Source organism: Homo sapiens, chromosome 14 (assembly GCF_000001405.40).
Source record: "Homo sapiens chromosome 14, GRCh38.p14 Primary Assembly".
Taxonomy (NCBI): Eukaryota; Metazoa; Chordata; class Mammalia; order Primates; family Hominidae; genus Homo; species Homo sapiens.
Window position 1 is genome coordinate 40,237,244 of NC_000014.9, and position 18,703 is coordinate 40,255,946.

The window sequence follows — 18,703 nt, forward strand, 5'->3', positions numbered from 1 at the left end:
CTTCTATTCTGCCATCTTGCTCCACCCCCTCAGCATTCCTGTTTCTTGCTCTTTCTATTTTATTTTTAATTGGACTAATTACAAAAGCTTGTTTTCATGTGTTACTCATGTACTTTAAAAAAAATGTTCCAGAGTTTTCCTGTCCATAATCCTACTGTGAGTCAACCTTGGGCACAGCTACCAAAATTGAAAAGTCTTTGAGTTGGAATGCATAGAAATAGATTTTAGGGTTCTGAGGAGTTTGCCTAAGGGCTGCCTAGGAGAGGTGGAGACTGAGGGAGAGGCTAAGAAAATGAGATTCTTGGCCCCCGCTCCATTTCAGCCAGAACGCCCAGTTTTTATGTTTATTAAAGTGCCACATGAGATGTTACTTAAAAATAAACCATGGAGGTGGAGCTGCTGTTGGAAACAATGCTTTGAAATTCACTAACCCAGAATAAGGACGGTGTTGGTCTCCACTTTGCTTTTCTCTGACCACTCCTGGGGGCCAGGTTTATTTCTTGGCTTTCACCTGAAGGTGGAAATCAATGCAGTGAATGCACTCCAAGGAAAGCACCTAGGATGGTGAAGGTACTGAAAACTAGAGAGATTGGTTAGTAAAGCCAGGCTTGGAGAGCCTTAATTATTTGAAGGGCTCTCAGGTGAGTAGATTAGTTCTTCATAGCACTGGGGTCAGGACTAAAACCTGGGGTAAATGGAGATTTCAGAGTTGTCCAAAGATAAAATGGGTTGCCTCAGGAAGTAATAGGATCCCCATAACTGGAGATATGTAGGCAGAAACTCTTTGTCTATGATGTTTGTGGCAGATATTTCAACAACAGATGAGGGTTTGACTAGAGAACCTCCAAGGATCTCTAAACACAAATATTGTTTAGTTCCTATGATTCAGAATATATGTTGGACACTGGAAATATATAAATGATTGAGAGAGACATTTTTTCCACTCTCAATGAAAAAGCAAATAAGATACACAAACAAGTAAACTTTTAAATTTTAAATATTGCTCTGAGGACAAGAGAATATGGTGATGTGATAAAGAGTAACTGGAAGTGGGGACACTTTTAGATAGGAATTTAAAGAAGCACCCTCTGAAGAGATATCTGAGGCCTGAGGGTGAGAAGGAGCCATTTATGCAAAAATATTCTGGGCAGAGGGAACAGAACATAGTAATAGCACTAGAAAGCTGTTGCAGAATTTAAAACAGGATAATTCTGTGATCTGATTTAGGATTTACAATGATTTTTTTTAAAAAAGAATTGCACACCAAAACCAAATGATATTTATTCCAGGTATGCAAGATTGGTTCAACATTTGAAAGTCAGTTCGTGTAATAAACCACATCAAGAGGCTATAAAGGGGAAATTATATGATTATATCAATTGATGCAGAAAAGGGAATTACAAAATTCAACAACCATTCTCAATAAAACTCTAAGCACACTAGGAATAGAGGGAGCGTCTTCATCTTTATAAAGAATATCTACAAAAAAATCCTACAGTGAACATCATACTTACTGCTGAGAAACTGAATATTTGGCCATATCTTAATACGAGCCAAGTTAAGTCCTGTTTTACTACTGGTATTTAATAGCATACTGGAAGTCCTAGCAAGTTCAATAAGACAAGAAAGGGAAATAAATACAAAGAATACAGATTTCAAAGAAGGACTAAATCTGTCTTTGCTTACAAATGACATGATTGTCTATGTGGAAAATTCCAAAGAATGAAACAAAAAAGCAAAACAAACCCCTCCTGAAACAAATCTGTGAGTATAGCGAGGTCACAGGATACAAAGTTATTATATGAAAGGCGATTGTTTTACTTTATAGCAATAAACAGTGGTAATTTGAGATACAAAATTTATAATAGCCATTCATAATTGCACATAAAAATGAAATAATTAGGTACAAATCCAACAAAGTATGTGTAGAACCTATATGTGGAAAACTATAAAACTCTAAAGAAATTGAAGGAAATATAAATAAATGGAGATATTTTGTGTTCATGGATTGGAAAACTCAATATTTTAATATAATTTTTTTCAACTTGATTTATAGATGCAAGACACCCTCAATCAAAATTCTGTAAGCTATTTCATCATATTGAAAAAAGGAATCTAAGTTTATATGGAAAGATAAAAGATCTAAAATAGCTGTACTATAATGTATGAAAGCAATAAAGTTTGAAAACCCAATTTCAAGATTTGCTATACAGCTAAAATAATCAAGGCTGTATGGGATTGGAAAAATAATAGGCACATAGACATGGAACAGAATAAAGAGCCTAGAAATAGACTACAAATATAGTCAATAAATCTTCAACAAGGAAGCAAAGGCAATTACATTTAGAAAGAATAGTTTTTTCAACAAATGATACTAAAACTATTGGATATCCATATGAAAATGTATCTAGGCACAAATTTAATATATTGCACATAAATTAACTCAAAATGGATCATTGATTAGTGTACAACTCAAAGTTCTAATACTTCTAGAAGAAAACATAGGAGACAATATAGGTGACAGGGTTTGGCAATGAGTTTTTATTTTTATTTTCGGTTAATTAATTAATTATTTGTTTTAGAGACAAGGTCTCTCTCTGTCACCCTGGCTGGAGTGCAGTTCTCACAATTACAACTCATTGTACCTCAAATTCCTGGGTTCAAGTGATCCTCTTGTCTCAACCTCCCTGGCATTTAGGACTACAGTTGCACCACCATGCCTGGATTGGCAATGAGTTTTCAAATACAAAACCAAAAGCATGATCCATAAAAGAAAAAATTGAAAAGTACAAATTATGAAAATGTTGACCATTTTGACATACCTTGCTAAAATATCTTTATATTGTATATAATGTGTTAAGTTATTTTCCAATATCTTTCTTTGGATACACATCTAAAAATTTCCTTCAATTTTCAATCTGGAAAGCGGCAGTGGCACTTGTATACATTTCTGTATTAGCTCAGGCTGGCATAACAAAACCCAATAGTCTGGGTGGTTTAAAAACAGAAAATAATTTTCTCACAGTCTGGAGGCTGGGAAGTGCATAATCAAGGTACTAGCTTTTTGGGCTCTGGTGAAGGCTCTCTTCTTGGCTTATAGAGGGCTGCCTTCTCTATGTGTTCTCATAGGGTAGAGAGCTCTGGTATCTCTCTCCTTATAAGGGCACTAATGCTATCAAATTAGGGCTCCTCCCTGATGACTTCATTTAAACATAATTACTTCCTGAAAACACTATCTCCAAATACAGTACAGTCACATTGAAGGTTAAAGCTTTAACATATGAATTTTGGTGGTCACGATTCAGCCCATAGCAATTTCCATTTGATCTTTTATAATAATACTTATTTGCATTTTTTAGACAACAAGCTTTGAGCTTTGCAAAAAAGCACACTAAAACCACACACTTAGAATTTTTGGCTGTGGCTCAAAGGACATTAGTATTCTGACTCAGCATAGGAGCGCGGGTGTCTTTGGGAACATATTTGTTGTGAGCCATATTTTTTTGTACATCATGTTACATATTCTTGGGGATAATTCTCCTTCATGAAACCCAAACCAGTTTGTAATAGGAACTTACTAGATTGATAGTCAATGCAGTTTGAACCAACAGAAGGAACAAAGAAAAATTACACTCTAAATTCAGAAAAAAAATTATAACACATAATAAAAAAATTTATAACACAAAAAAATTATAACAACTATTCTTCTTTCCTGAGAATTTTATACCATGGTGTTAAATTTATTTAGATTCTCACAGTTAAATAAGAGTCATGTGCTTTTTTTTTATCAGCACAAAATATTGGCTGTTGTAACACAAAAAATACGGGATATTTAGGAAACTATTTATATGATTCAGGGTCACACATATTTTTTTCTAATGACTTTGGTTAATACTTCCTGTTACTTTAGAAATATATAAGTAATAGACTTCTAGCTAAATGGCCATTTTAATGCAAGGACATGGCTATCTAATTTTCAAAATTTAAATAATTAAATAGGCATAAATATATCTGAATTAATTCTGGGACCCCTTGTATTTCAATCCTACTGCAACATTGAATTCAGAGAAATACTATATATAACCTAGAAGTAAAATATATACTTTCATCTCCCCAAGTCCATGTAAGGAAAACTTATAGCCTATAGCGTGCATTTATTGAATCCTCTTGCATTCTCTCTGCAAGTGTCCTGCAGCCTTAAATTCTTTCAAATTATCTCACTCTCTAATTCTTACTCTGACCTCCCTACCAAACACTCACCTGTATTTAGCTCCCTTGTCTGTTCAGTCGGTCTTTTCCAATTCTCATTCTCTCTTAGGTATCTGTTATCCACACTCCTTCTGTTATATGCATTCATCTCTCTCATATCTTTGATGAGCATTGGAGAGGAGCTGGAATCTCTCTGACAGCAGTGATGCATGGAGGACCTGAGGAGGTGGGATGAATGGCTCTCAGTCCCTGCATTTGGATAAGAGACGCTGCATGCTATTGGGAGACTTGGCATAGGTAGTCTTTTTTTTTCACTCCTAGCAGTGTCTGAGTTCATTGGTTTATTTACTACCCCCCACAGTATTAAACATGCTCTCCACCACTGTACGATTTTTCAGTACTCAGGAAACACTACAACATGTGTGACAGCTAAGAATTCACCAAATATTAGCACTTTTTGAATAGTCTATTAAATCACCAGGTAAAATGCACATACATTTTAATTAAGAATATTTTCACCATAATAGTCTACATTAAATAAAAATTCTTTGTTCCATTCCAACATGACAACTTGTTGAAATCTTCAGGTTCTGACTGACCTCACACTTAAAAGTATAAATAGTTCTTGAAAATATCTGGGTCACCTGATGACAACAACACAAACATAAAGAAAATACAAAATAATAAAGAAGCTCTGTGAGACTACTATATAGAGATTCTGCTGCTTTTTGTTCCCTAATTGAAATGAGACTCTTGCATTGGCTCTTGCTTGATCCAGACTGTGTTCAGCAACTACTCTCCTGTGATTAATGTTCTTAATCACATTTTTGAAATCGATGCAGCAAATGCTTCTTATTGTTTTAAAACCATATATTTTAAATTGAAATTTATTTTAATCAATCAAGTATGAATAACACTAAATATTTTTGTCCTAGCATTATGTATAATAAATTAAAAAACAAATGGCTTATACGGTATTGATTGACACCTGTATAATTAATTGAAACAGGTTGATAAGAAGGAGCTGTTTCCTTTCTGAAAACCTCCTACTACAAAGTCATGAATTGGCAAAATATTACTTAGCAATGTTTCAAATGCCTCATACAACATAATCTTTATGTTTTCCCAGATGATGTACTGTGAAAGGAAAATAAACCTCAAGACCCCCAAATCACTGAACCAAAAGGAAAAGTCAACCTGGGAACTGTGTCAGACAAACCTGCTTCCCATTTTATTCCTAAGTAAAATAGCTTAGCTATAAAGAAAAAAAAGCTACATACCTCTCTCACAATTTGCCCACAAAGAAATTCCTTGTGGGCATCAAAGTTTTTACCTAAAACACTTCTGTTGAATTTCAGTCTGGCAATGTAAATTGATAGCTTATCATCACGAGTTCAGGACAAAGGGCAGAACTCATAGTCATCCCTCTGCTGACCTGAGAGGAATGGATATCTGATCGTTTCCACTGCCGTATTGTTTATGTAAAACTGCAGATTCACTGAGCCAGACTAAGGCATAAATGATGTTTCCTCTACCCTGCTCTCACATGTAAATTGTGTATTTAGTAAAAGGCTAATCAGAGACTCAAAAGAATGCAACCATTTGTCTCTTATCTACCTATGACCAAGATGACACCTCCCCACCCTCCCCCCAAACCTTCGAGTTGTCCCGGCTCTCCACACCAAACCAATGTGTATATCTTACATATATGGATTGGTGTATTATGTCTCCCTACAATGTATAACGCCATGCTGTGCCTCAACCACCTTAGGCACCCCCTGAGGCTGTGTCACAGGCACGTCCTTAACTTTTGCAAAATAAACTTTCTAAATTGATTGAGACTTATCTGATGTATTTCACTCACAATGCTTAATAGCACTTCCAGTTTCTCTGGCATGAGGAGGTAATCTTTGTAAAGAAGATATAGGTAATTTTTCTGGATACTCCTTGATTCTTAGTAAATAATTAAGAAGACTAATAGCAATCAGATAGCTGTAGTAGAAGTCAATGAAATGGTAGTAGAAGAATGAAACCAGCCAACTCTAAAATCAATCCTTTTAGACCCTATGATTCTTGGTATTATTGATAGAAATTAATCATCATGTAGAAGACAAAATGACAATAACTTTTGCCATTATTTTAAATCTTTCACTGAATATTTATCTGATATAGATAAGTGATAGATTTCAGTCAGATAGTCCAAAGCCTAAATTCTATGTCCCAGAATTTTCCATGTCATTAACTTTAGAAGGTTAACTGTCCTTTAACTCTCCCTGAGGAGTACAGATTTCTCATCCTCACTTCTTGTATATTTATGTCTAAGTAGCTGTGGATTTTATATGCATTTAAAAATCTTTGCCTCTTTTAGGCTTTTCTTAGGGTCCAATTTCTCTTAAGAGCAAAAGTATCTCTTCACTATAAAATCATAGTTGTATATTGACTCACACACATATGCACACACATGCACACACATACACACATGAATTTATTGAGAAAAGAGTATTTTAAAAGGTATTCTAAAAGATTAGAAGCACAAAATTATATGTCTAAAGTATCAGTGCTATATAGGACCTGTACCCATTTTTGTAACTCATTGTTTCTGTAGAAGGAATTCTGCAATTTCCTTGTTTTATGTTTTTATAACAATGTCAATCTTTCTAATTCTTATAACTTAAAAACTCTGGATTGTGCTATGATCACATTCAATTTAAAATAATTTAAGTGCATTATTTTTATTGAAACATGGTTTCTGAACCTTGGCACTATTAACATTTTGGGCTGGAAGATTCTTATTGTAGGAAGATGTCCTGTGCTTTGTAGGATGTTTTGCAGCATCCCTGGCTTTTACCCCGTAGATCCCAGTAGAATCCCTCAGTGGTGACAACCAAAAATGTTGGCTTGGCAATTGTCCCTGGGGGGCAAAGTCACTCCTAGTTGGAAATCACTGCCTTATTTAAAAGAAAGGTGTTAAAAATATTTGATTGTCATAATTAATATGTGACATTATTAATAATAATAATGTCCACATTTGGGTGGCCCACTCTGGATGTGTTCCAATAGAAATCAATACAACTTGTTTCCATTTAATAGATATTTCTCAATTTTAGTGAATTTTGTAGAAATAAATGCAAAATCTAAAGCTCAATCAAATAATCTTCACTTTTGGATTAATATTTTGAGGGCATTTAAACCTCCTTCTGTTTATGTATGCCGTTTCCCCTCTTTGTTTTATATATTAAGGTAAGAGGACATGATTTCATTGTCTCTGCATAGCTTATTGATGACATCTGCTGCTTTGCCCTCAGCACCTCACAGAAAATTCAAGGCAAATTAATGTCCAGATGGTTTTATCTGTACAAAAAACTTTTCTAGATATACAGCCTATTTTAGCATAGTATCTTATGTCCTAGAGGGAAAGCCAAGAGTAATTTAATGCCATTAGGCAGAGTAAAACTTAGAAAATATGATCTATTTATTCTTTAAAATTCTCTTCAAGTTTTGCATCTTCTTTCACTTCTATATAATGCATCATCTCTTTGCAATGCTCTTCTCTAGTTAATATTGACTGCTATGAATATTATATTCTTTCTCATTATATTTTTGTGAAACATTATTCAAGCAACTTTCCAAGCCAATTTGGTTTTATATAAAGAAGAAAGATATATCCATATGTAAGAAGCAGATACATACAAATATATATTTACTAAATCTAAATTTAAAACTCTAAAATTATTGTTGTGCAAATAAATATTTTTATTAAAAATATTAAGTTATGATAAAATAAACATAAAATTGCCATCCTAGCCATTTTAAGTGTGTACTTCAGTAGTGGTTATGTTCACACTGTTGTGCAACCAATCTCCAGAACTTTTTCATTTTGCAAAACTGAAAGTCTGTACCTATAAAACAACAACTCTCCATTTCCTCCTCCTCTCAGCTCCTAGCCAGGACCATTCTATCTTCTGTCTCTATGATTTTGATTACTCTAAGTACCTCATATATGTGGAAACATACTGTATTTGTCTTTTTGTGACTTGTTTATCTTATTTAGCATAGCGTCCTCAATGTTCGTCTACGCTGTAGCATGTGTCAGAATTTCCTCCTTTTTAAAGGCTGAATAATATCCCATTTTAATGGTATACCACTTTTTTTGTTCCTTCATCTGTGAATGGATATTTGGGGTGCTTTCACCTTTGGATTTATTGTAAATGAAGTTATGATCATGGTGTACAAATACTTCTTCAAGACCCTGCTTTTGATTCTTTTGGCTGTATACCCAGATGTTAAATTGCTGGATCATACTATATTAATTCATTTTAATATGAATTTTTCACGTGTACATACTAAAATTCATTTTAATATGCATTTTTCTCTAGCCGGCTTTCTAAAATAGTATTACCTGGATGCTTTCCATGTAAGCACTTACATATCCACATTATTCTTTAAATTGCTGCATAATATTCCACTACATCTATTTACTGTGATTTATTTCCCTGATAACTCTTTGAGAGACATTTAGCTGTTTTTAATGTAAAATCGACAATGCTTCACTGAACGTTCTTATACATGTCTCTTTGCACACTTGTGAGAATACACAGATTTCTAAAAGTAGAATAGCTTTTGACCCAGCTATTCTATTTTTCCTTGTAATAGACATTGACAAAAGACCCCTTAAAGAGGCACACTGATTTTACATTTTCACCCAGAGGATATGAGTGGGAAATTTTAAAGCTTGTCTTTCCATTTCATTTTTGAATTTTGAGGAAGGTTTTTAAATTAACTTGCTAGGCAAAATAATTTTTTAATTTACAAATAATAATTGCATATATTTATGGGGTACATAGTGATATTTTGATACATATAATGAATAGTAATGTGACCAGGGTAATTGCATATCCACCAACTCTAGCATTTATCATTTCTTTGGGAATATTCAATGTCCTGTTTGAAACTATATAATATATTTGATAGCTATTTGAAACTATATAACATATTATTGTTAACTATAGTCATTCTACAATGGTATAGACCAGTAGAACTTATTCCTCTATTGACCCAAATTTTGTATCCTTTAACAAATCCCTCCCTATAACCCCATTTCCCTGCATTTTCCAGCTCTGCCCAAAGCAGTCTACAGATTCAATGCAATCTCTTTAAAAATAACAATGACATTCTTCACACACACACACCTAAAAATTTGTTGAAACCACAAAAGACCCCAAAGATCCAGAACAATCTTGAACAGAAAAGAACAAAGCTGAAGGCATCAATCGTACTACCAGACTTCAAAATATACCACAAAGCTGTAGTAACCAAAACAGTGTGATACTGGCATAAAAAGCAGACACATGGACCAATGAAAGAGACTAGAGAAGCCAGAAATTAATCCACATATCTGCAGCCAACTGATATTTGAAAAGGTACCAAGAATACTAATTGGAGAAAGGAAATCTCTCCAGGCAATGATGGTGGGAAAACTGGGTATCCAGAAGAATGAAAGTAGACGTCTACCTCCCATGCTATGCAAAAATCAACTCAGAATGGATCAAAGACCTAAATGTAAGATTTGAAACTATAAAACTACTGTAATAAAACATAGGGGATTTCTGGACATTGGTCTGGGAAAATTTTTATGAATAACACCTCAAAAGCACAAACAATGAAAGCAAAAATAAACAATTGGGACCCTATCAAACTACAAACCTTCTGCACAGCAAAGGAAACAACAGAGTAATAGGCAACTGACAGAATGGGAGAAAATATTTGCAAACTATTTATCCAATAGGGGGTTACTATCCAGAATATACAAGAAACTCAAACACCTCAACAGCAAAAATCCAAACATTCCCCTGATTAAAAAATGGTCAAATAATGTGAATAAACATTTCTCAGAAAAAGATACACAAATAGCCAAGAAATATATAAACGGCACAACATCCTAATCATCAAGGAAATGCAAGTCAAAACCACCATGAGTTAACATTTCACCCCAGTTAGGGTGGCCACTATGAAAAAGATAAAAAACAGCAAATGCTGGTGAGAATGCAGAGTAAGGGGAACTCATAGACTTCTGATGATAATGTAAGCTAGTACAACTATGGAGAACAGAATGGAGGTTCTTCAAAAAAGTAAAAATATTAATAGAACTACTGTATGATTCAACAATCTTACTTCTGGGTATTTATCCAAAGGAGAATAAATCAGTATATTGAAGAGATACCTGCAACCTCGTGTTTATTGCAGCACTATTCACAGTAGCCAAGATATGGGATCAACATAGCTGTCCAAAAACAGATAAATGAATAAAGAAAATACGACTTATATACACCATAAAATATTATTCAGTCTTATTAAAGAATAAAATTCTGTCATTTGTGGCAACGTAGATGGAACTGGAGGATGGTATGTTAAGTGAATTAAGCCAGGAATGGAAAGTTAAAATACCACATGTTCTCACTCATATATATAAGCTAAAATCAGTTGATCTCACTGCAGTAAAAAGTGTAACAAATAAGTATTTTTGTTTGAGTAATATTTCAAATATTTTTCTAATTACATGTGTTCATTTTATAAAGATGAATAATGGTAGTAAATTTAATAAAGAAAATAAAAATTATCCATAAATCAACACAGAAATAACTACTAACTGTAATCATGACTGTTGAGCTCACTGTAAAAATAAAATTTCTATACACACACACAGACACACACACACACACACACATATATATATACACACACACAATACTTTGAGGCCATGTGTATAGAAGGTACTCATAAACCAGTGAAATAATGTATGTTTTACTTCACCTCTGTAATCTTGGTTTTTCTTTGTGAGAGAGATATTTATTGAAAGTGTGTCATATTCTTCTTGGAAATAATATAGCAAATCTCTAATTTTACTGTAGAATTTTCTGATTATTCTAAAAATACAATATTCTCATATGTTTGGGAAGGTGATACAAAACTATACCTAAACATCATGTAAAAATGCTTTAAAAAGGGAATAAGCATTGTGTTTCTGAAGAAATGAGTAGTGAATCTTGCTCAGTGTCCAGCTACCACCTCTGAATCACTATCCCTTATCCTGTAATTAGATCTGTGAAAACAGGGAAAAGTACACTAAAAATAAGTAAATAAATAAGTTGTGTCAGTTGTATGTTTCACACAGCAATTTATTTGGTTACTTATTATTTTTGCTTGTTTGGTTGGCTTGGTAATTAAAAATGGCAACCTATATGCAGATTTTCTGAATAAGTATTTGTAATACTTATGAAAAATCTACCTGGAAAAGCAGTGGCTGCATGAATTGTTAATCATGAGTTCTTTGGACAGAGGCATTTCTTTTTCTGTCATGATCAGAATGACTTATGAGTTTCTGCATAGTGTAGGCTCAAGGAGAAGGTATGTGCCTCATCAGTGTGACTGAGTTATGGCAGGAACCATTTAGAAAGCAATGCTACTGCAGATGTAGGAAGTGCTTAAGTGATGTATGGTGATGTATGTGTATAATCGTTGTATCTCTAATGACTTCTCTCTTCTGGCAAAAGTTAGTGTTTATATCATTTTTTGATTTTATGCTCAGACATTCATGTCTTTTCTTACTATGCAAACTGATAGATTTTGCTTTTTAAAAGAATAAAGTGCATTCAAAAAAATCTACTTTCAATTTTGCTGTGTGTGGTTTAAGTTACCAAGTATTGTTTGTATTACTGAATGTTCAGCACTATTGCAGTTATATATTAAAATGATTTACCTAAGTGTGTTGCAGTTAAACCCTGTTAAAATGGCATTTTGTGGAGAGTACTGTACGCCTCTGATACTTAATTCAGTTTTAACAGTGTAATGGGAGAACATTGTTTATGCTATAGAATGATTCACTCAGGACATTAAAGTGCAATGAGAAAATTGTTACCTCTAGTAAAATTTATGACAATGTGGTATCTAGAAATGCTTGATAAACCCCAAAGAGAATTATTTCTTAGTTGGTAGATAACTATAGTATATACTTGTAAATTTTTCAAAAGTAAATTCACAAGTAACTAAAATCACAGGATCTTTATGAAATTACATTTGCATATAATGAAATGAACAACAATAGAGATACTTGTTTGGTCCTAAATTAATCATCGTCATTTATAGATAATATAACTAGAAATAGTTATTGATAGTTTTTGATAGTAGGTTAGAATAATTTTATATCACTCCTAATTTTTACTTTCTTTTTCTTGTAAGGATATTCCACTATAAAGGTAAAACTTATAAAAACAGAAAACCTAAAAAGGAGAAATCAGAAAGAAGGTAAAGCATGCTATTTTTTAAATTTGTAATGTTTAATATTTGTGAGTACATAGAAGGTATATATATTTATGGATTACATGAGCTATTTTGATACAGGCATGCAATGCATAAAAATGACAATAGAGTAAATGAGATATTTATCACCCTGAACATTTATATTTTGTGTTACAAACAATTGAATTATACTCTTACATTATTTAAAAATGTACAGTTAAATTATTGTTGACTACAGTCACGGTCTTATTCATCCCATTGTAATCCCATTTACAATAGTTACAAATAAAACTAAAAATCTAGGAATTAACATATTCAAAGAAGTAAGATATCTCTAAAATGGTTGTGAGGCTTGCTGGAACTCAAGTTCCAACCACTGGGATGGGCCATTTCTCTCTGGATAGGGCCCATTTAAATGCTCCTTCCATGGGTAAACATGCCCTTTATTTCTTTCTCTTGTCTGATTGCTCTAGCTGGGACTTCCAGTACTGTGTTCAATAACAGTGGTGAAAGTGAGTATCCCTGCCTTGTTCCAGGTCTTAGAGGAAAAGCTTTCCATTTTTTCCCCATTCAGTATGATACTAGCCATGGGTCTGTTGTATACAGCTTTTTGTGTGTTGAGGTATGTTCCATGTATACCCAGTTTTTGAGGGTTTTTATCATGAAGACATGTTGAATTTTATAAAGTTCTTTTTCACCATCAATGGAAATGACCATATCGATTTTATCCTTTATTCTATTGATATGATGTATCACATTGATTGATTTGCATATGTTGAGCCATCCTTGAATCCCTGTAATAAATTTCAATTGATCATGATGATGATCTTTTTAAATGTATTGCTGAATTAGGTTTGCTAGTATTTTGTTGAGGACTTTTGAATTAATATTCATTAGAAATATTGGCCTGTAGTTTTCTTTTTCTAATGTATCTTTTTCTGGCATTGGTATCAGGCTAAGACTGGCCTTGTAGAAGTTTTTTCTCTTCCTCTATATTTTTGCAATAGTTAGAGTAGCACTGGTATTAATTCTTCCTTAGATGTTTGGTAGAATTCAACAGTGAAGCCATCAGGACCAGGGCTTTTCTTTGCTTGGATACTCTTTATTACAGTTTTAGTCTTATCACTTGTTATTAATCTGTTCAGATTTTGGATTTGTTCACGGTTCAGTCTTGGTAGGTTGTATGTGTCTAGGAATTTATTCATTACTTCTTGATCTTCCAATTTATTGGCATGTATTTGCCCATTGTAGCATGTAATGATCCTTTGAATTTCAGTGATATCAGTTGTGATATCTGCTTTTTCATCTCTGATTTTATTTATTTGGGTCTTCTCCCCTTTTTTCTGTTAGTCTGGCTAAAAGTTTGTCAATTTTTTTATCTTTTCAAAAAATCTACATTTTGTTTTAATGATCTTTTGTATTATTTTATTCATTTCAATTTTATTTATTTCTGCTCTGATGTCTGTTATTTATTTTCTTCTCCAAATTTTGGGCTTGGTCTGCTCTTGTTTTTCTAGTTCTTTTAGATGCATCATTATATTATTTCATTTATGTTTTTCTTCTTTTTTGGTTTAGGCATTTAAAGCTATACATTTCCCTCTTAGTACTGCTTTCACTCTATCCTAGAGATTTTAGTATGTTGTGTTTCCATTATCATTTATTTCAAGAAAGTTTTTAATTTTCTTTTTAATTTCTTTATTGACTCACTGATCATTCAGGAGCACATTATTTAATTTTCATGTGTTTTTATAGTTTCTAACATTTCTTTTATTATTGATTTCTAGTTTTATTCCACTGTGGTCAGAGAAGATTCTTGATATTATTTCAATTGTTTTGAATGTTTTAAGACTCATCTTGTGACCTAGCACATGGTTTATTTTTTAGAATAATACATTTGCTTAAGAGAAGAATGTGTACTCTACAGTCATTGGATAAAAAAAAAATTCTGTATATAGCGATTAGGTTCATTTGTTCCATAGTGCAGATTAAGTCAGATGTTTCTTTTTTGATTTTCTGTCTGGAAGATCTGAAAAATCCTGAAGGTGGGATGTTGAAATTTACAGCTATTACTCTATTGTTGTCTACCTCTTTCTTTAGTTATAGTAATATTTGCTTTATATACCTGGAGACTCCATTATTGGGTGTGTGTATATTTACAATTGTAGTATTCCCTTGATGAATTCACCTTTTTATCATTATATAGTGCCCTTCTTTGTCTCTTCTTGTAGTTTTTGTCTTGAAATCTATTTTGTTTGATATAAATATAGCTACTCCCCATCTTTTTTGGTTTTCATTGGCATAGAATTTTTTTTATCTTTTTATTTTCAGTCGCATGTATCTTTATAGGTGAAGTATATTTCTTGCACCTTCACAATGCAATGTTGCACATTGATGCAACAGATCATTGCGTCTTTGTTTTTTTCCATTTATTCAGCTACACTATGTCTTTTGATTGGAGCGTTTATTCTATTTACCTTCAATGTTGTTATTGATTGGTAGGGACTTACTCCTTCCATTTTGTTATTTGTTTTCTGGTTGTTATGTGGTTGTCTTCTTTCCTCCTTTCCTATCTCCCTTTTAGTGAAGGTGATTTTCTCTGGTGATATGCTTTAATTTATTACTTTTTATTCTTTGTGTATTCATTGTATGTTTTTTGATTTGATGTTACCAAGAAGCTTGCAAATACTGTCTCATAATCCATTATTTTAAACTGATAACAACTTAACACTGATTGCACACAGAAACAAGCAGCAAAAAGAAAACTATATAAAAACTCTAACCCTTAACCTCATCACCCCACTTTCAAACTTTTTATTGTTTTTATTATATCTTGTTATACTGTCTGTGTCTTGAAAAGTTGTAGTTACTGTTTTTGATTGGCTTATCATTTACTCTTTCTACTTAAAGTAAGAGTAGTTTACACAACACAGTTACAGTGTTATAATATTCTGTGTTTTTCTGGGTACTTACTATTACCAGTGAGTTTTGTACCTTCAGATGATTTCTTATTGCTCATTAATGTCCTTTTCTTTCTAATTAAAGTATGCTCTTTAGCATATCTTGTAGGACAGACCTGATGTTTGATAAGGTCATGTTTTCCTGGTTAGTGGTGGTACTTGTAGATGTTCTTCAGTGTCTGGGCAATGAAGAATTAGGTATTTATTTTAGTCTTCACAGTCTGGGCTTGTTGGACATCTTTGGGAAGGTTTCCCAGGTATTCAAAAGGACTGGAGTATTGTAATCTAAGCCATGTCTACACTAGGGGGCACCTGAATCCCAGTAACAGTGAGTTTCTTGCAGATTTGTAGAGTTACCACTTTAGTGGTCTTACATGAGATCTGAAAAAATTATCCAGATTACCAGGCAGAGACTTTTTTTTTCCCTTACTTGCTTCCAAACTCATGGACTGTCTGTCTTTGCTGAGCTGTCTGGAGTTGGGAGGGCATGACAGCAAACACCCCGGTGGCCACCACCATTACGACTGTTCTTTGTCAGACCTGAAGCCAGCACAGCATTGGGTCTCTCTTGCCAAGGCCCACTGTAACTACTACCCAGCTACCACCTATGTTCTCTTGAGGCCCTGAGGCTCTACAGTCAGCTTATGGTGAAGCCAGTCAGGCTTGTGTTCTTTTCTTCAAGAGAGCAAGTTCCCTGAGGCTCTGGGCTGGTTTAGAGATTTCATATAGAAGCCACAGGCTGGAGTCAAATTCTTAGAAGTCTACCTGGGGTTCTATTGTACTGTGATTGAGTTGGCACTCAAACTATGAGACTTAGTCCTTCCCACTGTTTCCTCTCCTTTCCACAGGCAGAGGATATCACTCTGTGGCCACCACCACCAAAGGCCCATGGGGCGTACTGCCAGGCTACCACTGACATTCATTTCAGGCCCAGTGGCTCTTTAGTCAGATTGTGGTGAATGCTATTAGGCCTGGGACTCACCCTTCAGGGCAGTGAACTCCCCTTTGGCCCAGGCCTGGTCCAGAAATGCTATCCAAGAACCAAGGCCTAGAATTGAGGAACCCAAGAGTCCACTTGGTACTCTACCCACCTGTTGCTGAGCTGGATTCTAAGGTACAATACAAAGTCCCTTTTATTTTTACCTCTGCTTTTCTCGAACCAAAGGAGTCTCTCACCATAGCAACAAAATCTGGGAATGTGTTGGGTCTCACTCGACGTCAGCATGACTCAGAATCTCACCAAAGGACCATGGCATACTACCTAGGTATCATTGCTGATTATTCAGGGCCAAAGGGCTCTTTATTAAGCAAGTGATGGATCCTGCCCAGACTGGGTCCTTCCTTTCAAGGCAGCAGATTTCCTTTTAGTCTAAGGTGTGTCTAGAAATGTCATCCCAGAGCTAGGGCCTGGAACACAGGACACATGACTTTGATCAGTGCTCTATCCTACTGTGGCTAAGCTGGTTTCCAAGATGAAAGACAAAGTCCTCTTTTCTTTCCCCCTTCCTCTTCTCAAGCAGAGGGAAGGTGCCTCTTTTGGAGCCATGATCTGTGCTGCCTGAGGCTTGGGGAGGGGTGGGACAAGCACTCTCTTACCCTGGCTGGTGTCTCAGTAAGTTGCATGCCCCCCGGTTTCACTGGTTCTGAGCCCAGCTCAGCACTCAGACTTGCATAGGAGTTGCAGTCCTTGTGGCCTAGACTGCCTTTCAAATATATATAGGGTCCCAGAGCACGTTAGCCCATGGTTGTGAGGCCTGCTAGAACTCAAGTTCCAACTGCTGGGATGGGCCATTTCTCTCTGGATAGGGCCCATTTAAATGCTCCTTCCATGGGTAAACATTGGCTGAGTTTACCCCAGTTTTGTCTTCTGCTGTGACAGGGAAGAACTGAGTTCAATGCAAAGTCTCACAATCGCTGCACTCACCCTCTCCAAATCACATAAATTTTCTCTCCACACCCAGAGACTGCTGCCAGAGAATTAGGGAGGGTGGCTTCAACGATTTAAGACTGTCTTTCTTACACTCTTAAGAGAAGATTGAACAGCAGGGAAAAACAAATTTAAAAATCTAGAAAGTTTATGTGATACATATAGATATGATGAAAAAAATGACTACTAAGTATGAAATTTGAAACAAAATGCTATATTGGTTAGGACATTTATAAAACCAATAAAACATAAGGAAAAGATGCATGAACCTCATGTGAATCTTTTAACTGCAAAACCCAATAATTTAAAATAAAGTTGTAATGCATGGGCTAATATCAGATTCATACAAGTTCATGGAGCCTCTTGGAACCATTTTTTATTAGCATGCCTAGCATTTTTTATAGAATTCCTGACATTGTATATTGAAATTGTAGAGGCCCTGAATGATGTTATATTCTTCATTCATTTAAAATGATTTGATTTTCTCCTGGCAGAGGGAAAGGTTACATGCAGATTACTCTGATCCAGTTGAGAGTTAGCTTTGGGCTTCCTTAGAGTTAGACTGTTTCTTGTTTGTTCTTCCTCCTGGGAATAATTTACACCTAGGGCATGGCTATTCCAAGGTTGCAGTTGAAATTCCAGGGTTTTAAACAAAATCTCTCTGCTTCTTGAGTCATAGACTGACTTTTGTCACCCTACTTCCATGAAACTGTCAAATCTCTGCTTAGGCCTTCAGCTTCCTGCATTTTGCTTTTTTTATTTATTTCTCTTTTTTTAGTATTTTGTTTATTGCATTGGAAGCTTAGGGTTTGACAAATACTTAGAGGAGGAGAAATTGAATAATTTCAGGTTCACATCTATGATTCTCTCTTCTTCAGGATTTGGCATTTCTGTTCCGGTTTTTGCTTCCAAAACCCAGTGAAACTCCCACAAGCACCTGGATGTCTAGACACTGGTATTCTCTTTACAGCACAAGAAATTTGCTGATATCCTGGAGGAAATGTGGCCAAACCTCAGTGTGCTTCTCTTTCCTGTTAGATGTTGGTCCCTCAAATTCTAAAGTTTATTGTTTCTTTTTTAATCCATGTTTTAGATTTATACTAGTTGGGGCTGTTAATCTGATACAAACTCTTCTGTTGAGACCAAAGAACCAGTGATTTTAACAAGGGGAATATATTCCATGTCCCTATACTGGCACCAGCAGGGGATAGACTTCTAAAACTGCTCAATCTCTGTGAAGGCCATTCTTCCCAAAACCCTGTTTAATTATAGTCTTTGAGTACAATATTTAAGGCAGATATTCTTAGTATGTAGA

The 18,703-nt window shown here is 34.6% G+C and overlaps 2 long non-coding RNA genes across 3 annotated transcripts in view; one reads left to right on the forward strand and one right to left on the reverse strand.

Moving 5' to 3' along the window:
* Positions 1 to 18,703, forward strand: part of LOC105370464 (uncharacterized) — a 47,489-nt gene that overhangs the window by 19,415 nt on the left and 9,371 nt on the right. The window contains exon 3 of one of the 2 annotated variants that reach the window (XR_943788.2): positions 12,445 to 12,646. The exons of the other annotated variant lie outside the window; for it this stretch is intronic. This is a non-coding gene — a long non-coding RNA (uncharacterized LOC105370464). Of the gene's footprint in view, positions 1 to 12,444; positions 12,647 to 18,703 lie in introns of those variants that run through there. 2 annotated transcript variants of the gene reach the window in all.
* Positions 1 to 18,703, reverse strand: part of LOC105370463 (uncharacterized) — a 117,571-nt gene that overhangs the window by 6,237 nt on the left and 92,631 nt on the right. Inside the window, exon 5 of the long non-coding RNA XR_943786.3 lies at positions 4,261 to 4,427. This is a non-coding gene — a long non-coding RNA (uncharacterized LOC105370463). The remainder of the gene's footprint in view (positions 1 to 4,260; positions 4,428 to 18,703) is intronic.